Source organism: Homo sapiens, chromosome 9 (genome assembly GCF_000001405.40).
Source record: "Homo sapiens chromosome 9, GRCh38.p14 Primary Assembly".
Classification (NCBI taxonomy): domain Eukaryota; kingdom Metazoa; phylum Chordata; class Mammalia; order Primates; family Hominidae; genus Homo; species Homo sapiens.
Window position 1 is genome coordinate 42934340 of NC_000009.12, and position 26477 is coordinate 42960816.

General features: G+C 47.6%; 1 protein-coding gene and 2 pseudogenes across 6 annotated transcripts in view; 2 read left to right on the forward strand and 1 right to left on the reverse strand.

Moving 5' to 3' along the window:
- Positions 1 to 21169, forward strand: part of LOC112268044 (ankyrin repeat domain-containing protein 18B-like) — a 60842-nt gene extending 39673 nt beyond the window's left edge. Inside the window, exons 10-13 of one of the 6 annotated variants that reach the window (XM_047424292.1) lie at positions 15751 to 15858; positions 16227 to 17209; positions 20171 to 20284; positions 20866 to 21169. The gene's annotated coding sequence lies outside the window, so the exon portion shown is untranslated. The remainder of the gene's footprint in view (positions 1 to 15750; positions 15859 to 16226; positions 17210 to 20170; positions 20285 to 20865) is intronic. The other 5 variants (XM_047424293.1, XM_047424294.1, XM_047424291.1 and 2 more) reach the window with 5 other exon arrangements.
- Positions 16227 to 17291, forward strand: CYP4F60P (cytochrome P450 family 4 subfamily F member 60, pseudogene; annotated as a pseudogene).
- Positions 24939 to 25649, reverse strand: LOC100419693 (zinc finger protein 114 pseudogene; annotated as a pseudogene).

Genomic DNA, 26477 nt, shown 5'->3' on the forward strand with positions numbered 1-26477 from the left:
CAGGGTGTGGCACCTTTTTCCTCTCTCTGTCTTGTTTCTACTTCTGCCATATAAAACATACCATTGGTGCTTGGTCTTCTGGTATGATTGGGAGACTTCCTGAGTCCTCCCAGATGCAGAAGCCTCTATGATTTATTTAAAGCACGCAGAACCATGAGCCAGTTCAACCTCTTTTCTTTCTGATTATACAGAAAATTAGTGCTGTGAAATGGAGCTATGAAATGCCTTCACGGCCTTTTCCTTATTTTCTTGGCAATGAGCACTCAGCTTCTTTTCAGGCAAATATCTGAAGCCTGCCTGAATTTTTCTCCTGAAACAGACTTTGCTTCTTTTACCACATTGCCAGGCTGCAACAAACATAGCTGAAAATGTAGAAGCAGGTTGAGAAGTGTGTAACGGCCAGAGGTTGGAGAGTTTGGAGGTGTTGGAAGAAGACAGGAAGATGTGGAAAAGTTTGGACCAGTGTAGAGACTTGTTAAATAGTTATAATTAAAAAGATGACAGAATGATGGACAGTGATGGCCAGGCTTAGAAGGTCTCACATGAAAATGAGGAGCTTGCTGGGACGAGGAGCCAAGGTCATTTTTGTTTTGCCTTAGCAAAGAACATTACTGCACGATGCCCTTAACCTGGAGATCTGTGAAACTTTGAACTTGAGAGTGATGATTTAGAATGTATCTGGTGGAATGAACTTTTAGGCAGCAAAGCTCAAGAGATGTCTGGTCTGTGCCAAACACCCTGAGGTCTTATATGTGACCAAAGAAATGAACTCAAGGTGAAACTTATATTTAAATGAGACGGAGAGCTTAAAAGTTTGGAAAACTTGCAGGCTGGCCAAGTGGTCAAAAAGAAAAGCTGATTTTTGGTGAGAAAGTTCAAGAAGATTTCAGAAATGTGCATAAAATGGAATTGAGTGCTAATAGCCAAGACAATGATAAAAAGGCCTTGAAGGCACTTCAGAGACTTTTGCAGCAACCCTTGCTGTCACAGGCCCCCAGGCCTGGGAGAAGAGAATGGTTTCCTTATCCAGTCCCATGGCCCTGCTGCTGTGTCCATCCTCGGGACACTGCTGGCTGCATACCTGAAGCTCGAGCTCCAACCATGGCTGACAGATACAAAGGTACATCATGGGTCACTGCTTCAGAGGGTGCAAGCTGCAAGCCTTGGTGGCTTCCACATACTGTTGAGCCAGCAGGTGCACAAAGGCCAAGACTAGAGGCTCAGAATCCTTCATGTAGACTACAGAGGATTTACAGAAAAACCTGGGTGTCCAGGTTGAAGCTATTCAAAGAGGCAGAGCCTCATGGGAATCCTTTACTAGGGCAGTATGGAAGGAACATATAGGGTTGGAACCACCACACAGGGAGCACCATTCTGAAATGTCAGATTCATAGACTCACTAACATCTTGCATCCTCATTGTGGAAAAGCTACAGGTGCTCAAAACTAGCCCAGCCCATGAGGGCAGCTGCGGGGGCTGAACACTGCAAAGCCACAGGTGCAGAGCTGCCCAAGGCCTTGGGAGCCCAGCCCTCATGCCCTTGTGCCCTGGATGTGGGACAAGGATTTAAAAAGGATGATTTTGGAGCTGTAGGTTTGAATAACTGGCCTGCTGGGTTTTGGAATGTCATGGGAACCTGTAAGTCCCGTTTGTGTTTTGTTCTTCCCTCTGGCAAAAAATCTTCCTTTCGGGTGGAGGTTCTTACTCAATGCCTGGACAATCGTACCTTGGAGGTAATTAACTTGCTTTGTATTTCAGAGGCTCAGGGGCAGAAGGGATGGCAGTCTTGTCTCAGAAGAGACTTTGGACTTTGGACATTTCAGTAAATGCTGGAATGAGCTAAGACATTGGGAAACTGTAGAGTAGGCATCATTGTATTTTGCAGTGTGAGAACAACATGAGATACGGGGGGTCAGGGTCAGAATAATACGATTTGGCTCTGCATCCCTACCAAACTCATTTGGAATTGTAATGGTGAATGTTAAACGTGGGGCCTGGTGGGAGGTGATTTATTCATGGAGAAGAGTGGGGGTTGGAGGTAGGGGTGTGGGGAGAATGGGGGAGATTATTTTGTGGTGGGGGTAAAAGGTAAGGGTAGGGGGGCAGATCCTTCACAAATGTTTAAACCCTATCTCCTTAATGCCGCCTGCGTGATAGTGAGTTCTCTTGATGATATTTGCAGCTGTGAGATTGAGTGAATCCTGTCCCGCTGAGTTTTGGACTTGTGTTGGGCCTGTGGGCCCGTTTGTGTTACTTTTATGGGAAATTTCTTCCCTTTGGACTGAGAAAGCTTACCCAATGCCCGTACCATCATTGTACCTGGAAAGAAAAGAACTCCATTTTAAATTCAGGGACTCATAGGCAGAAGAGACTGTAGCCTCGTCTCAGGAGAGACTTTGAATTTTTTTACATTTGGAATGAGTTAAGACTTTTGGAGATTTTTGAAAAGTCATGATTGCATTTTGCTCTGTGATAAGGACATGAGATTCTGGGATATCAGGGTCAGAATAATATGGTTTGGCTGTGTGTCCCTATGAATCTCATGCAGAATTGTAATCCCTAATGTTGAAGCGGGTGACTCAATTATGGACAGGAGGTTGGTGGTGGTGGAAGGTAAAAGGGATGGGTAGGATTGGGAGGAGTGGGTCGGTAGTAGGGTGGTGGGAGGGTGGGTGGTAGTAGGAAGGAGTAGCAGCCTGCTGCAGAGTGAGGGACTCATGGAAAACCCTCTACTAGGGCAGTGCACCTGTGGTTTGCAGGGTTTAGCTCAGCTGTTCTCATGCGCGGGACTGGTATTGAGGGCCTGTAGCTTTTCCTCACTGAGGGTGCCAGCTGTTGGTGGGTCTGTGAATCTGGGGTCTGGAGGGTAGTAGCCCCCTGTGTGGGGGCTCCAAGTCCATATTTTCCTTCTGCACTGCCCTAGTAGAGGTTTCCCAAGAACTCTGCATCTGCAGCAGGCTGCTGCCTGGAAACAGTGGGAGGTGGGTGTGGGAGGCAGACCCTTCACCAATGGTTAGGAACCATCTTCATGATGGTGACCTGGTGATAGTGAGTTTTCATGAGATCTGGTTGTATAATAGGACATGACACCTTTTCCCTCTCTCATGCTTGCTCCTTCTCCTGGCATATGAGACATCTCATTGCCCCTTGACATTCTGGTGTGATTGGGAGGCTTCCTGAGCCCTCTGAGATGCAGAAACTAGTATGCCTCCTTACAGCCTGCAGAATCATTAACAATTAAACGTCTTTTCTTTTTGATCATTGAGAGAATTTTTAATGCAAAGAAGATCTGTTAAGTGTCTTCAAGGCCTTTTCCCCAATGTCTTGGCGATCAGCACTCAGCTTCTTTTCATTCAAGTCTCTGAATCCTCCTTGAATTTTCCCCCTGAAAATGGACTTGTCTTCCATACCACATTGCCCGGCTCTGACAAAGATAGCTGATAATGCAGGAGCAGGTTCAGAAGAGGGTAGCAGACTGAGTTCAGGAGAGTTTGGAGGGCTTCCAAGACAAGAAATTGAGGGGAAATTTGGATCTTTGTAAAGAATGGTTAAATACTTGTGATCAGAAGGCTCACAGGAAAATAGACAGTAAAGATCAGACTTAGAAGGTCTCAGATGAAGATGAGGAACTTACTGGGAATAGGAGCCAAGGTTAGTTTTGTTTTGCTGTAGCAAAGAATGTGGCTGAACATTGACCCTGCCCTGGAGATATGTGAAACTTTGAACTTGAGGGTGATGACTTAGTGAGTATCTGGTGGAATGAACTTCTGGGCAGCAAAGCTCAAGAGGTGTCCTGTCTGCATCAAACAGCCTGTGCCCTTATGTGTGACTGAGGAAATGACCTCTGGATGGGTCTTACATTAAATGAGTCACAACTCTTATATTAAATGAGAAACGGAACTCAAAAGTCTGGGAAACTTGCGGCCTTGCCAAGTGGTCAGAAAGAAAAGCTGATTTTCAGTGGGAAAATTCAAGAAGGCTTCAGGAATTTGCACGAAAAGGAGCCCGGTGCTAATAGGCAAGACAATAAGGAAAAGACCTTGAAGCCATTTCAGAGACCTTTGCAGCAGCCCTTGCTGTCACAGGCCCTGGGGCCTAGGAGGGAAGCATGGTTTCCTGGGCCAGTTCCATGAGCCCCCTCTATGTGCAGCCTCAGGACACTGCTGCCTGCATCCCTGCAGCTCCATTTCCAACTCCAGTCATGGCTGAAAGATGCACAGGTAGAGTTTGCATCCCTGCTGCAGGGGTGCAAGTTCCAAGCCTTGGTGTCTTCCACATAGTGTTAAGCCAGCAGCTGCACAGAGCACAAAACTAGAGGCTTGGGGGCCTGTGTCTAGACTCCAGAGTATGTACGGAAAAACCTGGGTGTTCAGGCAGAAGCTTTTCCAAGAGGCAGAGCCTCATGGCACACCTTTACCAGGGCAGTACAGAAGGAGAATATGGGGTTGGAGTCCCTAAATATGGAGACACCATTCTCCAGACCCCAGATTCATAGATGCACCAACAGCTGGCACCCTTAGTGTGGAAAAGCCACAGGCACTCAACACAGCCCAGCCCATGAGGGCAGCTGTGGGGGATATATCATGCAAATCCACAGGTGCAGAGTTGCCCAAGGCCTTGGGAGCCCAGCCATCACACGCCTGTGCTCTAGATGTGAGATGTAGATTCAGAAAAGATGATTTGGAGCTGCAGGATTCAATGACTGGCCTGCTGGGTTTTTGACTTCATGGGGTCTGTAAGTCCTTGGACTTTTCAGTAAATGCTGGAATGAGTTAAGTCATTGGGGGACAGTAGAGAAGTCATCATTGTATTTTGCAGTGTGACAAGGATACAAGATTTGGGGACCAAAGGCCAGAATAATATGATTTGGTTCTGTGTCCCTACCAATACTCATGTGGAATCGTAATGGGGAATGTTAAAGTTGGGGCCTGGTGGAAGGTGATTTAATCATGGAGAAGAGTGGGGGTTGGAGGTAGGGGTTTGGGGAGAATGGGGGAGATTATTTTGTGGGTGGGGGTGAAAGATGAGGGTAGGGGGGTGGATTCTTCACAAATGGTTAATCACTATCTCCTTAATGCTATCTACATGATAGTGAGTTCTCTTGATGATTATGGAGCTTAAAGATTGAGTGAATACTGTCCTGCTGGGTTTTGGACTTGCATTGGGCCTGTGGTCCCATTTGTGCTATTTTTATGGTAAATTTCTTCCCTTTGGATTGAGAAAGCTTACACAATGCCTGTACCATCATTGTACCTTGAAAGAAACGAAATCCCTTTTAAATTCAGAGACTCATATGCAGAAGGGACAGTAGCCTTGTCTCAGGTGAGACTTTGAACTTTTTACATTTGGAATGAGTTAAGGCTGTTGGAACTTTTGAAAAGGCATGATTGTATTTTACTCTGTGATAAGAACATGAGATTCTGGGATAGCAGGGTCAGAATAATATGGTTTGGCTGTGTGTCCCTATAAAAATTCATGTGGAATTTTAATTCCAAATGTTGAAGTTGGGGCCTGGAGGAGATGATTTAATCATGGACTGGAAGCGGTTGGGGTGGAAGGAAAAGGGTTGGTTAGGGTGGGGAGGAGTAGGCTGGCAGTAGGGTGGTGTGAGGGTGGTGGGTGGGAGGAAGGGGGAGCAGCCTGCTGCAGAGGCAGAGGCTCATGGGAAACCCTCTACTAGGGCAATGCACCTGTGGCTTTGCAGGGCTTAGCTCCTGCCACAGCTCTCATGGGCTGGGCTGGTGTTGAGTGCCTGTAGCTTTTCCACACAAGGTGTGAGCTGTTGGTGGGTCTATGAATCTGGGGTCTGGAGGTTGATGGCCATCTGTGTGGGTGCTCCAAGCCCATATTTCCCTTCCGTACTTCCCTAGTAGAGTTTTCCAAGAGGCTCTGCCTCTGCCTCAGGCTTCGGCCTGGAAATAGTGGGAGTTGGGGGTAGGGGGCGAATCCTTCACCAGTGGATAAGCACCATCTTTGTGATGCTGACTTTGTGATAGTGAGTTCTCATGAGATCTGGTTGTATAATAGGGTGTGGGACCTCTCTCCTCTCCCTGTCTTGCTCCTCCTCCTGCCACATGAATCATCTCATTGCCCCTTGACATTCTGGTATGATTGGGAGGCTTCCTGATTCCTCTTAGATGCAGAAGCCACTATACTTCCTTATAGCCTGCAGAATCATGAGCCAAGTAAACCTCTTCTTTATGATCATAGAGAAAATTAGTACTGCAAAGTGGATCTATTAAATGTCTTCAAGGCCTTTTCCCTATTGTCTTGGGAGTCAGCACTCAGCTTCTTTTCATTCAAGTCTCTGAACCCTTCTTGAATTTTCCCCCTGAAAATGGACTTGTCTTCCCTTACTACATTGCCAGGCTGCAGCAAAGAAAGCTGATAATGTAGAAGCAGGTTCAGAAGGGGGTAGCAGACAGAGTTCAGAGAGTTTGGAGGGCTTTGCAGACAAGAAGTTGAGGGAAAGTTTGGATCTTTGTGAAGAATTGTTACATACTTGTGACCAGAAGGCTCACAGGAAAATGGTGAGTGAAAGCCAGACTTAGAAGGTCTCAAATGAAAATGAGGAACTTACTGGGAACAGAAGCCAAAGTGACTTTTGTTTTGCCTTAACAAATAATGTGGCTGCACGGTGACCCTGCCCTGGAGATCTGTGAAACTGAACTTGAGGTTGATGACTTACTGAGTATCTGGTGGAATGAACTGGGCAGCAAATCTCAAGAGGCGTCCTGTCCCCATGGAACAACCTGTGCTCTTATGTGTGATGGAGGAAATGACCTCTGGATGGGACTTACATTAAATGAGTCCCATCTCTCAGAACTCAAATTTAGGAAAATTTGCAGCCTGGCCAAGTGGTCAAAAAGAAAAGCTGATTTTCAGGGGGAAAATTGAGGAAGGCTTCAGAAACTTGCATGAAAAGGAGCCCGGTGCTAATAGACAAGATAATAGGGAAAAGGCCTTGAAGGCATTTCAGAGACCTTTGCAGCAGCCCTTGCTATTGTGGGCCCTGGGGCCTAGGAGAGAAGCATGGTTTCCTGGGCCAGTTCCATGAGCCTCCTTTATGTGCAGCCTCAGAACACTGCTGCCTGCATCCCTGCAGCTCAAGCTCCAGCCATGACTGAAAGATGCACAGGTACAGCTCGGGTCACTGCTTCAGAGGATGCAGGCTAGAAGCCTTGGTAACATCCTCATAGTGTTAAGCCACTGGTGGACGGAGTGTGAGACTAGAGGCTTGGGAGCCTCTCTATAGATTTTGGAAGATGTATGGAAATTCCTGGGTGTCCAGGCAAAAGCATCCCAAAAAGGCAGAGCCTTATATGAAACTTCTACTAGGGCAGTGCAGAAGGAAAATATGGGGTTGGAACTCCCACACTGGAGACCACCATCATGCAGACCCCAGATTCATAGACCCCCGCCCGCAACAACTTGTTTCCTCAGTGTGGAAAAGTCACAGGCACTCATCACCAGCCCAGCCCATGAGGGCACCCTTGGGGCATATACCCTGCAAAGCCACAGGTGCCAAGCTGCCCAAGGCCTTGGGAGCCCAGCCCTCACACCCCTGTGTCCTGAATGTGGGACAGGGTTTCAAAAAGGGTGATTTTGGAGCTGTAGGATTGAATGACTGGCCTTCTGGGTTTGGAGTTTCATGTGGCCAGTAAGTCCTATCTGTGTTTTGTTTTTTTCTGGCAAAATTCTTCCTTTTGGCTGGGAATGCTTACCCAATGCCTGTACAAGCATTGTACCTTGGAAGTAGTTAACTTGCTTTATATTTCAGAGGCTAATGGGCCTAAGGGACTGTAGCCTTGTGTCAGATGAGACTTTAGGCTTTGGACATTTGTATAAATGCTGGAATGATATAAGATTTTAGGGGACTTTAGGGAAGGCATCATTGTATTTTGCAATGTGAGAAGGACATGAGATTTGGGGAGTGAGGGAAAGAATAATAAAATTCAGCTGTGTCCCTACCAAAACTCATGTGGAATTGTAATTGGAATGTTAAAGGTGGGTCCTGGTGGAAGATGATTTAATCACGGTGCAGAGTGGGGGTTGGAAGATGGGGGTGTAGGGAAAATGGGGGAATTATGGTGGGGGTGAGGGGTGAAAATTGGGGTGGGGGGTCAGATCCTTCACAAATCATTAAACACTATCTCCTTATTGCTGTCCTTGTGATGGTGAGTTCTTTTCATGATTTTAGAACTGTAAGATTAAATGGATACTGGCCTCCTGGGTTTTGGACTTGCATTGGGCCTGTGGTCCCATTTGTGTTATTTTCCTGGGAAATTTCTGCCCTTTGGATTGAAAAAGCTTACCCAATGCCTGTACCATTATTGTACCTTGAAAGAAAGAACATCCTTTTAAATTCAGGGACTCATAGGCAAAAGGTACTGTAGACTTGTCTCAGATGAGATGTTGAATTTTTTACATTTGAGTTATTGTTGGAATGAGTTAAGACTTTTGGAAAGTTTTGAAAAGGCATGAATATATTTTGCTCTGTGAGAAGGACAAGAGACTGCAGGGGATCAGGTCAGAATAATATGATTTGGCTGTGTTTCTTTACCAAAACTCATGTGAATTGTAATCCTTAATGTTGGAGGTGGGACCTGGCTGGAGGTGATTTAATCATGGATGGGAGGGGGACCGGGGATGGAAGGAAAGGGGTGGGTAGGGTGAGGAGTAGGTTGTTAGTAGGGTGGTGGGTACTAGGAGGGGGGAGTAACCTGCTTCAGAAGCAGAGGCTCATGGAAAGTCTCTACTAGGGCAGTGCACCTGTGGCTTTGCAGGGTGTAGCCCCCATGGCTGCTGTCATGGGCTGGGCTTGTGTGGAGTGCCTGTAGCTTTTCCACTCTGAGAGTGCAAGCTGTTGGTGGGTCTGTGAATCTGCAGTCTGGAGGATGGTGGCCTCCTGTATGTGGGCTCCAAGCCTACATTTTCCTTCTGCACTGCCCTGGTAGAGGTTCTCCAAGAGGCTCTGCCTCTGCAGGAGGCTTCTACCTGGAAACAGTGGGGGGTGGTGTGGGTGGATCCTTCACCAATGGTTAATCTTCTTGATGCTGATCTCCTGATACTGAGTTCTCATGAGATCTGGTTGTATAACAAGGTGTGGCACCTCTTTCCTCTCTCTGTCTTCCTCCTACACCTGCCATATGGAACATCTCATTGTCGCTTGGCCTTCTGGTATGGTAGGAGACTTCCTGAGTCCTCCCAGAAGCAGAAGCCACTATGTTCCCTTTACAGCCTGCAGAACCGTGAGCCAATTAAACCTCTTTTTAAAATAATACTACAGAAAATTTGTACTGTAGAGTGGAGCTATGAAATGCCCTCAAGGTTTTTTTCCTGATGTTTTTACTATTGGCATTTGGCTTCCTTTATATGCAAATATCTGAAGCCTTCTTGAATTTTCCCCCTGAAAATGGACTTTTCTTCTTTTACCACACTGCCAGGCTGTCACAACGATAGCTGAAAATGTAGAAGCAAGTTCAGAAGCAGGTTCAGAAGCTGGGTAACAACCACAGGCTGCACAGTTTGGAGGGCTTGGAAGAAGACAGAAAGATGAATGAAAGTTTTGACTATTGTAGAGACGTGTTAAATAGTTATAATTAAAAGGGTGACTGAAGGATGGATAGTGAAGGCCAGGCTTAGAAGGTCTCAGATGAAAATGAACAACTTACTGGGAGCAGAAGCCAAGGTTACTTTTCTTTTGCCTTAGCAAAGAACTTGGCTGGATGGTGCCCCTGCCCTGGTGACCTGTGAAACTTTGAACTTGAGGGTGATGATTTAGGGTATATCTGGTGAAATGAACTTCTAGGCAGCAAAGCTCAAGAGGTATCTTGTCTGTATTGAACAGCCTGTGGTGTTCTGTGTGACCGAATAAATGACCTTAAGTTGAAACTTATATTTAAATGAGAAGCAGAGCTTTGAAGTTTGATTTGCAGCCTGCCCAAGAGGTCAAAAAGAAAAGCTGATTTTTAGTGGGAAAATTCAAGAAGGCTTCAGAAATGTGCATAAAATGGAGCCCAGTGCTAACAGCTAAGACAATGTTAAAAAGGCCTTGAAGGCATTTCAGAGACCTTTGCAGCAGAGCTTGCTGTCACAGGCCCTGAGTTCTAGGACCGAAGAATGGTTTCCTGGGTCAGTCCCATGGTCGCGCTGCTGTGTCCATCCTCAGGACAGTGCCGCCTGCATCCCTGCAGCTCCAGCTCCAGCTCCAGCCATGGCTGAAAGATGCACAGTTACAGCTTGGGTCACTGCTTCAGAGGGTGCAAGCTGCAAGCCTTGGTGGCTTCCACATAGTGTTAAGCCAGCAGGTGCACAGGCTTGGGAGCCTTTATCTAGACTCAAGAGTATGTAAGGAAAAACCTGGGTGTCCAGCTGGAATGAAGCTTTTCCAAGAGGCAGAGCCTCATGGGAAATCTTTACTAGGGCAGTGCAGAAGGAACATACAGGGTTGATGCCCCCATACAGGGAGGAACCATTTTCCAGACCCCAGATTCATAGACCCACCAACTGCTTGCACCCTCAGTGTGGAAAAGCCACAGGCACTGACCACCAGCCCAGCCCATGAGGGCAGCTGTGGGGAAAGACCCTGCACAGCCACAGAAGCTGAGCTGCCCAAGGCCTTGGGAGCCTCGCCATCCACTCTTGTGCTCTAGATGTGGGATGTAGATCCTTTCAGAAAAGATGATTTGGAGCTGTAGGATGGAATGACTTTCCTGCTGGGTTTTTGACTTGCATGGGGTCTGTAAGTCCCATCTGTGTTTTGTGCTTCCTTCTGACAAATTTCTTCCTTTTGGCTGGGAATGCTTACCCAATGTCTCTACAATCATTGTACCTTGGAAGTAGTTAACTTGCTTTGTATTTCAGAGGCTCGAGCAGAAGGGATGGCAGCCTTGTCTCAGATGAGACTGGGCTTTGGACATTTCAGTAAATGCTGGAGTGAGTTAAGACTTTGGGGGACTGTAGAGAAGGCATCATTGTATTTTGCAGTGTGACAAGGATATGAGATGTGGGGGGACCTGGGTGAGAATAATATGATTTGGCCCTGTGTTCCTACCAATACTCTCGTGGAATTATAATGGGGAATGTTAAAGGTGGGGCCTGGTGGGAGATGATTTAATCATGGAGAAGAGTGGGGGTTGGAGGTGGGGGAGTGGGGACAATAGGAGAGATTATTTTGTGGGTGGGGGTGAAAAATGAGGGGGGACGGATTCTTCACAACTGGTGAAACACTATCTCCTTAATACTGTCTGCGTGATAGTGAGTTCTCTTGATGATTATGGAGCTTAAAGATTGAGTGAATATTGTCCTGCTGGGGTTTGGACTGACATTTTTGTATTTTTCTGGGGAATTTTTTCCCTTTGGATTGAGAAACCTTACTTAATGCTGGTACTATCATTGTATCTTGAAAGAAAAGAAATGCCTTTTGAACTCAGGGACTCATAGGCCGAAGGGACTGTAGCCTTGTCTCAGATGAGACTTTGAATTTTTTATATTTGGAATGAGTTAAGAATTTTGGAAACTTTTGAAAATGCATGACTGTGTTTTGCTGTGTGAGAAGGACATGAGGTTCTGGGGTATCTGGGTCAAATAATATGGATTGGCTGTGTGTCCGTATAAAACTCACATGGAATTGTAATCCTTAATTTTGGGGCCTGGTGGTAGGTGATTTAATCTTGAATGGGAGGGGGTTCGGGGTGGTAGGAAAAGGAGGGGTAGGGTGGGGAGGAGTAGGTTGTCAGTAGGGTGGTAGGAGGGTGGGGGGTACTAGGAAGGGGGAGTAGCCTTCTGCAGAGGCAGAGGCTCATGGAAAACCTCTACTAGGGCAGTGCACCTGTGGCTTTGCAGGCTTTAGCCCCATGGCTGCTCTCATGGGCTGGGCTGGTGTTGAGTGCCTGTAGCTTTTCCATACTGAGGGTGTGAGCTGTTGGTGGGCCTATGAATCTGGGATATGGAGGATGGTGGCCTCCTTTTTGGGGGCTCCAAGCCCATATTTTCCTTCTGCACTGCCATAGTGGAAATTTCTCAAGAGGCTTGGCCTCTGCAGGAGGCTTCTGCCTGGAAACAGTGGGCGGTGGTGTGGGTGCAGGATCTTCTTGATGCTGATCTCCTGATAGTGAGATCTCATGTGATCTGGTTGTCTAACAGGGTGTGGTACCTCTTTCCTCTCTGTGTCTTGCTCCTACCCCTGCCATATGAAACATCTCATTGCCACTTGGCCTTCTGGTATGATTAGGAAGGGCCTGGTCAGTGTGGGCCTGGTCAGTGAACTAGTCAGTTGGGACTTGGTCAATGAGGCCTATTTACTGGGGGAATGGTCAGCCAGGGTCTGCTTAGAGAGGGTCTCATTAGAGGGATCGAGTAGTGCAGGTCTTGTTGAGTGGGGACCTAGTGGCAGACAAATGTTTGGTGTCTGGTCAGTGCAAACCTGGGCTGCAGGGCTTGGTGAGTGGAGACCTGGTCAGCTGTGGCTTGGTGGTAGCCTTGTCAGAATGGGCTGGGTCACTGGTGACCCGGTCAAGGGGTGCTATTCAGTGGAGGCCTGGTCACATGGGACCTAGTCAGCAGGGCATGTCCTCATCAGTGAGGCCCTTGTCAGTGGGACCCTGGTCACGGCAGCCTGGTCAGGTCAGTGGAACCTAATCAGTGGGGGCCTGGTCAGAGAGGACTTGATCAGTGGTGGCTTTTGTAGCACTGGTCTATGGGGTGACCTGGGCAACGGGGGTCTGAGCGGTACATGCCTGTTCAGTGGTGCCTAGTCACTAGGTTTCTGGTCAGGGGCATCTGGTCACCGCAGGCCTGGTTAGTAGGGGCCTGGTCACTGGCAGCCTGTTCCCTGGAGACCTGGTCAGTGGGGCTTCATCTGTGGGGCCAGGCAATGGGGTCATGATTGATGGAATGTGGTCAGGGAGGCCTTGTCAGTAAGGCCCTGGTCAGTGAGGCCTTGTCAGGGAGGTCTTGTCAGTGAGGCCCTGGTCAGTGAGGCCTTGTCAGTGAAATCCTTGTCAGTGGGGTCCTGGACACTGTGGGCCTGGCAGCGGGAATCTAGTTAGTGGGGCCTGGTGATGGGGGCCTAATCAGTGAGGGTGTGGTCAGGGAGGACCTGATGTGCGGGATCTGGTCAGCAGGGACCTGGTCAGTGGGGCTGCTGAGCACTGCTGGGAGGTGTCAGGGGAAATGCATGTTGTCAGGGGAAATGCATGTTATCAGGGGCCCTATGGACAGCTGGGATGGCCCAGTGGTGTCCAATGGCCCAGTCAAAAGTGGACAAAGCAGGTGTTTGGATGGACCTGGGAGATCTTGTTCAGAGATTCTGAAAGAACAAAGGTAAAGGACGGGCCAGAGTGGCTAGAGAGATGGTCACAGTCTATGGGCTGCACAGGATGGAGGAAGCCATGGAACAGGCAGGGTGGGCAGCAGGGGTGCAGGGAGAGGCAGGTGCATGCTGGGAGATCGGACCCTGTGAGGGCTGTGGGGGCGTCAGGTGGGGTGGGCTCCAGGTGCATTCTCAGTGCACTGGGCAGGTCTCAGTCCAGGCTCTCTGGACCCTGGTAGGGTGATGTGGTCACTCCCTGGGGGACTGCTGTCAGGCCCAGCCACCCACCCTTGGCAGCAGTGTCCCATCTCTGGACTGGACTTTCTCAGATCCTGCAGAGGACACAGCCTCCAGCCCAGAAGGGGCAGCCCCTTGGTGCAGCCCAAGCTCTCCATGGGCCTGGAGCATCCCTGCCAGCCCTGTGCTCCATCTACTCCCAGGTCCCGCTTTTCAAGTGTCAGCCAGCAGAGAGGCTCCGTCCTCCCTTCCCTATGTGTCTCCTGGGCTGAAACTTGGGGCGCATTGGGACAGGGATTGTGCTTTCCTCAGGCCCATTTAGGGAGGAGACTGGCTCCCAGCCTGGCACAGGTCCTCAGCTCTGCCTTGGTTGCCTTAGAGTGACATGGATCAGTCAGTGCCCTGAAGGTAAATGGAAGAGACTGTCCCTGCTGTGTGGGAGGCTGGTCTAGGGATGGAGGACTTGGCAGGTCCTCCCAGTCTGTCAGGCCTGGACAGCACTGTCCTGTCTCAGGACTCAGGAAGTCTGGTCCTGGGATGGGATGGTGCTGCCCAGGGTGGGTGGCCAGGGCTTGACAGCAGTCCCCCAGGAAGTGACCACATCAGCCAACCAGGGTCCAGGGAGCCTGGCCTGAGACACCCACCCAGTGCATTGAGGGTGCACCTGGAGCCCACCCCACCTGATGCCCCCACAGCCCTCGCAGGGTCTGACCTCCCAGCATGCACCTGCCTCTCCCTGCACCCCAGATGTCCACCCTGCCTTTTCCCTGACTTCCTCCATCCTGTCCAGCAGGATGGGCTGGTCAGTGGGACAGCCTCTGTGCACATTTTGTGGCAAGTAGGAGTGACACATCATTCCTGGGAGGCCCCGTGGTTCCTGCCAAACCCAACCCCAGAATTCTCCCTGAGGTGGTTTTACCAAACCCATAACCCAGAACTGCTATTGTGGTTTGGGGGTCAGCACCCACCGGCGCCAGGGCACTACTGGGAGGCTGGGACCTGACCAAAGCCCATGGTGTCTGTGGCCTGAGGACAGGGTGTCTTGGGGCCATGAGGACAGGCCACCAATGGCCGTTGGGTCATAGGGCCTGAGACCCAGTGTTTGTCCTTCCCTGGCTCCTTCTGGTTCAGTCCCATCAGGGCTCTGGATCCCAAGACACAGCATCCAAAGTTCCCTCCAGGAATCCTGGTGGCTTGGCTTACTTTGTCATGTTTCATCTGATAGCAAAAATATCAGATCGGCTGCACAGAAAAAAATGGCTCAAAGTGCTTAATGACCAGAAGAAATCTAGGAGCAGCAAGAAGGTAATGTGGAGAGGGGAGGACCTCCATGACCGGTGTCCGTAGAGCCAGGGGTACAGGCACCCAGTGCAGTGACCTGGCACCACCTGCCTCTCAGAGGGTGGGTAGCACACTGTCCTTACCTGGGGGACAGCAGGCCTGGTCACCAGCTTTTCTCCCTGTCCCTGCAAGCATCACATTGCTGGAAGAGAATTTCATGCCAGAGCTTGGACCATCCCTAGCTTGGGGGTTAGGGGTTGTCTCTTGGTGACCTAAATGAAAAAATAGGTCCAGATCAGAGTTCCTGATGCATAGCACTCACCCACTCTTTGAATCATGGGAGGGGAGGCCTAGTCCTAGGTAAACCTAAACTCTTTGAGGAACCACAGAGCCCAAGGCTGGAAACCTCCAGAATCCTCCAGCCCCCGATCCTCCCCGGGGACTGCTGTGGCCTGTCTCACCAGAGCACTCTTCTGTCTGTAGATGTCTCAGCTGCTCTACAAGGGAGTCCTATTTCAGGTGTGGGGCTGGGTATGGTCACTCCTGCTGGATGTCTAGAAGGTGAAAACCAAGGACCTAGGAAAATACCAGATACAGCCTTTCCACCATCATCCAGAGCAGGACAAACACGCCAGGTGGTGTCAGGAACCTAGGTCTCCAGCTGGAGGGAATGTCAACCCTGCAGTGGGAGCCCATCACACATCCTAGGCACAGATGCTAATGTAGGCACCGCAGGTAAGCTGGTCTTGGTACCCCTCCCTGGCTTCAGAAAGAAGCCAAACAAGGAGCTTTCTGCAGAATGAAACCTCTTTTCCATCCAGAAGCACTGCTGACTGTTTGGTGGTTGCCGTTAGGGCAGTGAGCCTTTTGTCCATTCTGAGATTGGGCTGGTTTCTCCTCTTGGCCCTGCCCTACAGACCATAAAGGAAAACAGCAAGAGGTCCCCAGCAAACATCTACAGATGGCCCTGGATATCAGCCACATTCGGAGAAACGTGTCATGTTCTGGGAGGACTAAGGCATCGAGTAAGGCCTATGGGACTGGAGGATCCCAGGGCAGGTGGGGCAATCCAGAGCTGTGGGGGCTTCCATGGGAATTGGGAGGTCCCAAGGCAGAGGTAGGGGTTCCACAGGAGGAGTCACAGAGCACCAAGGGTTCTCTTGGCCCAGGGAGCAGTCAACACCATGGACTGAACACCCACTGGGCTAAGCCCTTGGCCAGGCTGGGGCATGTGGGGCCAGGAGGCAGCTCAGAGTGGGAGACAGAGAGACAAGTGTGCTCAGAGGGCACCCGTATCTGCATATAACGTGGTCCTGAGTTTCTGGCTGGGAAGTGCTTCCAGGGTTTCATATGTGTTATGGAGATGCTTCCTCTCTCCAACCTCACCGTGCAGGAATCCCAGTGAATATATTGCCACCATCTTGGAGCTCAGTGCCCTCATAGTGTAAGAGCACCAGCAGATCTGCCTGTGCACAGACTTCCTGTACTACCTCACTCCTGAGGGGAGATGCTTCTGCAGGGCCTGCGACCTGGGGCACAACTTTAGACACCATCATCCTGGAGCGGCACTGCACCCTCACTAGCCAGGGTGTTGATGACTTCCTCAATGCCAAGGCCACGTTCAAGATTTTCGACTTCAGTGATGCGTTTGTGCTGAGCAAGGTGGGCTTCTCCGGGATCTTAATTCAAAAGGTAGAATGCAGCTTGAGATCTAGTGTCTGATCGAAGAACTTGAACTTGACCTGGAGGGCTCTGGGGAGCCATGGAAGGTGCTGGATAAAGGAGGGACAGTCATATATGTTTTAGAGATGACTGTGGAAGGCTGCCTGGAAGGAGTGAACAAGAGCCAGGAGACCAGGGAGGGAGTTTGTGGGGCAGGTCTGGAGATGGCAAGGGAGGGATCCTGCTTGGATGAAAGGACTTCAGGGACTGTCTCGGGTTACACTCAGGTGCCCTCAGAGCTACTGTGTTCAGGGTTCTTGTCTCCAGGATGAAAATAAGGAGGAGTTGTCAGACAAGGACATATACATGGAGGCTGGCATCTTCGTGAGTGCCAATCGTGGTCCTGGTGTGGACTACTGTGGGAACAGGGGTCTCTCCATCCAGGGACATGGTGGATGGACCCTACGTCACTCCATTCTGCCCTTCCTTTCCCTCCCATTCTCCTGAGGGACTCAGTGCATGGGCACTGTCCAACCTCTGGTGCTGAAGCAGCCAAGAGACCCAAGCCTGCCTGGCTGCCACTTAGGATATGACAGCACAGCCAGTGGCCTCTACTGGATCCTGGTACCCCTCAGAAGACACCCAGACACTGGGAGTGCTGCCACCTCGTGGTGCAAGAGTTCTGAGGGATGGCAATTCTGAAGACATTTAATGGTGGGTGCCAGGCCTCATGGCTGTTCCCCAGCCCCTCTCATTGGCTCTGCTCCAGGTGGAGAAGGGGGATGATGTCTCTGTCAGTTCTGCCGGTTTAGCCTAGCAGGAAAAGAAGCAGAGCCCAGAAGCAGGGCCTGGTACCCAGCCTGCCTAACAAGGGAGAATTTGTAGGCTTTGTGGACAGAAAGATCTGGGACTCCATGTCACCCACTAACTTGCTGAGACATTAGTAAAATCAGTTTTCTTTTCTGAACTATGTTTCTGTCATCTGTACATTGAGAGGAATTTCTTTTACTCCATGAGGCTGCTTGGAGAATTAGTGACAGTGTGTGTAGAGCATGTGCCACCCAGCAGGCATTTGGTGTCGAGACCACACCTCCTCCCCCTTCATTTTCAGCCTAAATTTGCATTTTGTTCTTAAGACTTTCACTCGCCTTAATTTTACTCTTTCCTCTGATTCCCACCTTATCGTCTATCCCATGGAGTCACTAGGATCTAAGTGGGTAACAGTCATGTATGCATGTATGTGTATGTACGTATATACTTTGTTGGTGTTGGAGTGTGGTGTGTGAATGTGTGTGTGTGTGTGTGTGTGTGTTGGAGTTACTGGGTGACTGAAACTGTACACATCAAGCTGTCGTTCTGCTCATTGCTGGAAGCGCTGTCAGGGGTCCTGCCCTCAATCCCAGGTCTGACCCTTGCAGCGCAGGCAGGACATTCTGGAGGAATCATGCCCTTGGGAGGATCCCTGAGGAGTGACTGGTGGGTATTGGTGAATAAATACCCCTGGTCCCTTGCTCTGGGTATGACGACTCTGAAGCACATGTTCTGTGCTGTCTCTCAGAGGTACCTGGCAGGGCTGAGTCCTGGCTGCCACAGTGGAAACTTTCTTGATGAAGGTCCCTTTAACTGCTGCATTCCTTTCCTGTCTCAGTTCCCCACTCCTCCACTGATGTTTCCTGGGATTAGCACCCTAAGGAAGAACTGGCAGTCGAATTAATATCCTAGAGTTATCTCCAAACAAAATTTTTGTATTTGAATCTTTGCCTCAGGATCTACTTCCAGGAAATTCAGACTAAGACACACATTTTTATTTTGGCTCCTTGAATCCCCATAGGCCTGACATTTTGCTGTTTTTATCAAAAAGGGACATGAGGATCAGAGAGGGAAAGTCACTTGCCCAAAGTCACCCAGCTGAACAGTGGTAGAGTTCAACTTTGATCATGAGATGTCTGGCCCCAAGGTGGAGGCTTGCTCCTCTCTCATGAGACTCCTTCCTTATCAGGGTCAAATGAATGAATGGAGGATGTTAAAAGTGGGGTCTCTGATGCCTTTGCCAGATAAACCCCAGGCTCATGGCTGGCGCCTGTTTTCTCATTCTTACCTCATTAAGAGTAGTAATGAAAAACATGCTCAGTGCTGACCGTGTGCCTGGGGGTGTTGTAGGCACTCCGCTTACTTTAATTCATTTAATTTTCACAATAACCTTGTTTTTACTTCTAGTTGTTATATGAAAAAACTGAGGCAAAGAGCAATACAGAGAGTTGCAAAAATTCATACCGCTGGTCCAGGTTTGAACCAAACAGTCTGCACCTGGAGTCCTTGTTTGTAACCATGGCACCCTGTCTTCACACATATCTCATCGTGGAATTCCATCTTGTGTTAGGCATGGCACTGAGCAGCTTCTTTTAAGAACATAATTTGTAGCCAGGCGCAGCGGCTTATGCCTGTAATCCCAGCACTTTGGGAGGCCGAGGCGGGAAGATCACGAGGTCAGGAGATCCAGACCATCCTGGCTAACTTGGTGAAACCCCGTCTCTAGTAAAAACACAAAAAATTAGCTGGGCATGATGGTTGGCACCTATAGTCCCAGCTACTTGGGAGGCTGAGGCAGGAGACTGGCATGAACCCGGGAGGTGGAGCTGGCAGTGAGCCGAGATGGCACGACTGCACTCCAGCCTGGGTGAGAGAGCAAGACTCCATCTAAAAAAAAAAAAACAAAACATAATTTGTAATTATGTAAATTACTAATTCTACTTCAAAGTGCCACACAGCCTTCATGTGATAAAATGAAGCAATTGGTAAGTCTAAGCATTGAGAAAAAACATTATTTTTTCCACTCCCAGCTCCATTCCAACAGTTGGGACAGTGTTTTCTCTGTGCCTATAGAAACCTCAGCTACTGTGCCGAGGAGTCTGGTCCCTTTGGGGAATGTGGCAGTCAGGTGCTGGCAGGGACCTCGAAGTGGCTGAAAGATCATTAAGAAAAAGCTGTTTACAAACGTGTGGGCTGGGCCAAGGGGAACCATGAGGAAGGTGCAAGGCCCTGGGGTTAGCATCATCTGGGAGCTGTCACCACACTCCAGGCTGATGGGGCCATGGAGAAGCTGTTCCAGTAACTCAGAGGGAGAATCTACAGCTGAAAGAGGTGGCCAGGGGACACATCACTCCCTGTGCCCTTTGACTGCATCTGGATGCCCCCACTAACCACACTACCATCTCCTTATTAGATTGGAGAGGTTGCAGGGCAGGGTTCTAAGCCTCCTATTGTGGCTCACCTCCAACAGTGAGCCAGCAACAGCTCCCCTAGCCCCACAGCCCAGGGTCCACTTAGCCCCTCTATCCTGCATGGTCCCCTTCCCCTCTGGGAAGCAGATACCCAAAAGAGCAGCAGAAACCTGTCTCTCTCTGCAGGGCCCTCTGCTCCTTATGAGTGGTGTTTTGTGGGTGTCCTCCCTTGGTTTTGGATGGGAAACACCCTTTTCCCTTCCACAGGGATTGTTTCTGTGGACCCCACCCTGAGTGGGGTCCCTGTTGGGACAATGGGCAGGTGGGGATGGTGAGACCAACTCTTTAGGACCAGCAATGCCAAACAGATCCCACTCCGGGGAAGTTCATTCTAAGTGTCATGGGTCCTCTGGAACTTTTTGAAGGTTTCCTGTTTTTTTCTCCCCCTAACCAGCTCATCTGATCCCCTGGGATCTCTACTAAGATGCTGGCAGCCCAACCAGCTGGTCTGGCCCTGGACATGCCTTCAGGGACTGGTTATCCTTCATGACCTGTGTTGCGGTCATTGGTAAGCAGCACCTGCTTCTAGCTTTACTGTTGGGCCAGATTTCATCCCCACCATGGCTCTTCACTGCGGCTGCTTCCTGCTCCCTCCATGGACCTGCACAGAATTGTCCCATGTTTCTGTTTGGGCACCACTGAGGAAGGAAGCATGAAGGATGCACAGGTCAGGCCATTCTATTGCCCTCCTGCTGCTGGGTCTTTAATCCTGGGATGGCTTCAGGGGCTGGTCCTTCTCCATGGCCTCTCCACATATCTCAGGTTTCTACTCAAAAGTCACCTCTTGGAGGGGTCTCTCCCTGTCACTGTGTTTGGAACAGCTCCTTCAGTTTCTTTCTAGCTCATCTCACTCTGGTAATGTCTTTCATTACCACCACCACATGACCTGGTCTTGCGACCTGTTAGCTTCCTTCATCAGGCATGAGCACCAGGATGGCAGGGGCCTCATCTGTCCTATTCCTCCTGTGGCCTGGGTCCTAGCACCATGTCTGGTACAGTGTAGGTGCTCAAGGGAAGTTTACTTTATAGAACTGTCTACCTGGGAGATGTTGCTGTTAGTCTAACCTGTACCATTTTGTAAACCTGCAGCCATTTTGCACACCCTGGTCAGAATGAAACATTCCTTGGGAACTCGGGCCGTGAGAAGCATCCTTCCTGATCACCTGACTGTAGAAACATCCTTATCGCACCCTCCCGGGCAAAGGCCCAACAGCCTGACTGCAGGAACATCCTTGCCATATCCTGCCGGGCAGCAAGCTCTACAGCCCAGACCCCTCCTTCCCAGTCCCATGATCACCCCAGCCTGTGAGAGGCAGTTGGTGCTGGCAGTAAGCTGGTTTCCTCCTCTGCAGGGTTTTGCTAGTAATAAAGGTGTTGCTGTTGAAGCCGCCAACTGTCTTTCTCTGTCTTTCTTTAACCCTCGCCTTGCCTTCAAAATCTAACAATAGCTCTACCTCTCCATTTTACCAAGGAGGATATGAGACTCAAGGAGAGCAAGAGACTTACCCAGAATTACAGAGCCAGTGAGTCACAGAGCCTGAACTTGAGCTCAATTCAGCTGAATCCAGAACTCATGTCTTCCTGAGAGTCCAGGGAAGGAAAGGTGGAACTGCAGCCAGTGGGTGCCCACAGGCTTGTCCTAGGAGACCACATGCAGCCTCCTGGGAATTGTGTCCTCTTGGGCACAAAAGAAGAACTGCTCACCTGTGCTGCATCAGCTAAGTGTCCCCATTGTCCCAAATTGTTATATTTTTTCAAAGTTTTGTTTTAATAACTAGATTTCTCACAGCTCAGTGTTGAAAACAAAGCACAGAGGCATATAGAAAGCCGTGTTTGGGTTTTTCTCATTTTTTCCCCAGTGACTATACAAATGAATGTACAAAAGAGCACAAGTACGCTCATACTTTTTATATAGAGATGAGGCCCCCCCCACTCATATTCCTCTGCCACTACTCTTCCTTTTTTTTTTTTTTTTTTTTTTTCATGGGAGGACCTCTCTTTCAATACTAGTCCATGTGATTTGGGAAGGCTGACCCACCCTGGGCAATCAGATCGGCAGGGTAATTGATTCAGGAGTGGTCATGTGATCCAAGCTGGGCTCATGGAAGTCATCCCTGAACTTTTGATGAAACTGCTGGGAATGAGGTGCTTTCTTTTTATTGGCATATCTATTTGTAAGGAAGTAAGTGATGTGAACTTTATGGGGCCATTTTTGCTGCTCTCTCAAAACAGCCTGCCTGAAAAGCAGAGCTGACACAGGAAATGAAGGGACAGAATGAGCCTTGGTTTATATTAGTTGACCCCTGATCCCACTGAGACAGAAGCCCATCTAACTCATGTACATTTTTAGTAAGTAAAGCCAAATAATTCAATGTTCCGCTGGATCCAGTTACGTTTCAGTCACTTGCAGTCAAGAGAGTCCTTCATAATAGCACTTTCTGTGATGCTTAGGTCCCACCTGCCAGAGCTTTAGAACTGTAGAAGGGTAAAGTGAACCCAGGCAGTGCTGAGCTAGCTAGTCTCCTGGCTAAGTGTGCAAAGGAACCCTGGAGTCACTACCACTTTGGTCTGAAAAATAGCCTTGCCTGCTGCTTACCATACAGCCATAGGGGTATTGCTTCCCTGAGCCTGTAGGCATTATACCTCTTTTTAAAAATGATGTTTATTTAAGAAAATGTTTTGTGCAGATGGTGTCTTGCTATGTTGCCCAGGCTTGTCTTGAACTCCTGGCCTAAAGTGCCGAGATTATAGGCACGAGCCACTTTGCTTGGCCAGCACTATACTTCTATTAGTTGTCAATGCTTTTTTGTTCTGTAGTTTCTAGTGTGTGCTTGAGCATGCGTGTGTATGTGTGAGTTTATGTGTGTGTATGTATGCGTGAGAGTGTGTGTGTGAGTTTTTGTGTGTGTGAGTGTGTTTGTGTGAGTTTTTACCTTTATCTTGCAGGGTTATTGCAAGCATCAAGTGGGATCCTGTAGGCGCAGCACTCAGTCCAGTGACTGGCACATATAGTGAGCTCTCTCTGTTCTCTTTTCTCCTCCTGATTCAGAGAATGACTTAAGGATCTGTGATGTGTGCCAATTTTCAACGCCCTGCATAAATAATGGGGAGTACTGTTGCCATAACTTTGCACTAGTTTTAATTCATTTTATCTGTTTAGCATGAGATAACTCAAAGTCCCTGAATAAATTTATGTCATATATATATACATATATATATATTTATATATATATACACATAAGTATGCTTCTTGAGAGCTGACAGGCTTAGTTTTTGTTCCCTGATGCTGCAGTAGAGGCCACTGTGTTCTGATTTTCGAGTGATGGCTGCCAGCTCTCCAAGTGTCACAGTGAGTGAGGCATCCATGGGGGCAAGCGCCAAGGATGAGTGTGGCCAGTCAGCATCTGCAAGCCCGTTTTGTCTATCCTCTTTATTTTTATAATATGTTTTATTCATTTTTTAGGTTTATCATTTAATCTGTTATAAACTTCTCTCCTAAAATGTTTCTTAGTTCTACTAGGGGTTAGTTTCATGAAACAAGTCCAGAAATAGTCCAGGGCAGCCAGGGATACACAACATGCCATTGGGGAGGGAGAAATCTTGTAGATTGAAGGTTTTGTTGTAGGGACAATCGTTCCAATGGTCTTCAAGTTGCTAAATCCAACTCAGGGCATTTCATCCTATTTCCAGACAGCAGCAAGCAGAGAGAGCAAAGGGAACTTGGTCAACAAAAAAGAGGAACAATAACTCTCCCCTTTCCAAACAGATTTTCAGAAATCCAAAGCAGTGAATTCTGCATTTCACATTGGCCAGGACTATAAAATTTGCTCACTACAGTTACGAGAAAAACTGGGAAACTCATTTAAAGACATTAACCAGGGCCAGGCATGGTGGCTCATGCCTGTAATTCCAGCAATTTGGGAGGCCAATGTGGGAGAATCACTTGAGCACAGGAATTTGAAACCAGTCCAGGCAACATAAAGAGACCCAGTCTCTACAAAAACAAAACAAAACAAAAGCTGGTTGTGGTGGTGCACACCTGTTATGCCTGCAGTCCTACCTACTCAGGAGTCTGAGCTGGGAGATCACATGAGCCCAGGAGTTCAAGGCTGCAGTGAGCTCTGATCATGCCACTGCACTCCAGCCTGGGAGACAGAGTGAGACCATTTTTCAAAAAAAAATTGTAAAATAATAAAATATGCATAAATAAATAAATAAAGACATTTAAACAGTGCTCCTTGGAAAAAGTGAATCTATGTTCCCTTAGTGAAGAAGATGAGAATAATGGATATAGCAGGGAAATGGACAGCATTGGCCACATTAGACCAAAATGAAAGTCATAACAGGTACACCAAATCAGTACCATTAAAACCACATAATGGGACCATAATGCAGTCAAATTGTGACCAACAAAAACAAACTGACAAAAAAGGTGTCATGGAGCATACGAATTCTAAATCTAAATTGAATGGAGCTCAGAAGGGCTTCCCATTGAAAATGAAACTATGTGTATGTAAATGAATTGTAACAAAGCTACTACATAGCAACATTAAGGTGGCAGAGCGGAAAGGTTGCTAAGACAGATATCTGTCATCTTATAACATTTTTTAAGAAAGGAAAAACTACAAAATTATGAATTTGAGTTCTAATTGGGGGATAAGACAATGCTAAAGGCAATAATTGTTAACGTTTACTGTGCTTCAGTCCTACCCTGTGCTCATTCATGCCCAATAAGTGAAGAGCTGGAACTGAAAGCTTTCTTATATTTATTCAATTGTAGTCTCCCTCCAGGGTGTGGAATCATGTATAAAGGAGGGATAGTGTTTAAAGAGGTATTTTCTGCATTTTTTACTTCCATAAGCAGTCTCTGCTGTGTGAGTTCTTGTATGAACTATGAGTCTGAGACAACACTGAGGCTTTTTTCATATTCCTTACTTTCATAGCTTCTCTCCAGTGTGAGAACAAATATCTACTCACGATGAATGAAGATGAAAGGCTTTCCATAGACTTTACCTTCAGAGGGTTTCTTTTCACACTTCTGTAAGATAGGAGAGTTCAGGAAAGATGTTCTCAAGCGTGTTAACTCATTGAGCTCCCTTCCAGTATGTCCTCCTCACATGTTCAGTACGGTGAAAAATTAATGATGATTTCCCTGCCTTTCACTCACAGGGCTTCTCACTATTGTGAATCTTAAGATGGCTTTTAATTCTGGTGACTTTGCAAAGTCTTTTTCACATTTATCACATTTATAGGGTTTCTCCCAGTGTGACTCCTTATATGTGCATGTTTTGAGCCTTGCTTGAAGGCTTTCCCACATTCCTTACATCCATAGGGCTTCTCCAGAATGTTCTTTCTTAAATGTTTATTAAGGTGTAGGGAATATCTAAAGCCTTTCTCACTTTTGTTACATTCATAAGGTTTCTCTCCAGTGTGAAGTTTCATATGTCTCATAAGAAATGACTGATAACGTAAAGGCTTTCCTTCATTTGGGACATGTATGGCTTTTCTCTCCAGTAGTACTACTCCTGTGTGGACAAGAATTTGGAGAAGGGACAGAGGTTTTTCCACTTTGATGATTCTTATTCTTCATCTCTACAGAACAGGACTGCATCTGGACAGCATGGCCTGAGTTATTTCTGAAGATGTTTTCACATTGAGTAAAATTATACATTTTCTCCCTAACATGAGTTATGTGTGCCCTAAGGCACATGTCTTCACTACAGTCTAATTCAAATGGACTCCACTCATGAATGTTTGTCCTTGTATTAATTTTACTATGTATATGATGGACATTGTTCTGACTGCCTGTCCATGTGTTTGATTTTAGCTGTTTTTCTCCCATATGAAACCCAGTGAATGTTGCACTTCAAGACTATCATGTTGATTGTTTTCATATATATTACTTTATTGCAATAGTTTTTGGGAAACAGGTGGTTTTTGGTTACATGGAAAAGTTACTTAGTGGTGATTTCTGAGATGTTGGTGTACGCATTACTCGAGTAGTGTACATTGTAGCCAATGTGTAGTCTTTTATCCCTCACCCCCCTAACCTTCCCTCTGAGTCCCCAAAGTCTATTAAATCATTCTTATGCCTTCACTCTCTCATAGCTTAGCTCCCACTTATAAGTGAGAACATATAATATTTGTTTTTTATTCCTGAGTTACTTCACTTAGAATAATCATCTCTAACTCCATCCAGGTTGCTGCAAGTGTCATTATTTGATTCCTTTTTAGGGCTGAGTAGTATTCCATGGTGTATCTATAACACATTTGCTTTGTCCACTCATTGGCTGATAGACATTTAACCTTGTTACACATTTTTGCAACTGTGAATTGTGCTGCTATGAATGTGCATACATGTGTCTTTTTCATATGACTTCTTTTCCTCTAGGGGGATACCCAGGAGTGAGCTGATACTAATTTAAATAGAGATAATTATAAAATAAAGTAATGACCAAGTGAAAATTACCATTTCTAGTAGTGAAACAAAATACCTTTATTGAGTAAAGCTTGAACATATTTCTGCTCACATAAAGAACATATAACTTTTGTATTTTGTATAAATGATATGCTTTATCTCACTAGACTCATCCTATGGTTAATTGGTGGGGGAGGGTTGGAGAAAGTAATATATCTTTAAATTTAGCTTCTTGATTCACATTTTTCTTCAACTTTCAATAGCTCTCTTTTAGTTAAATGCC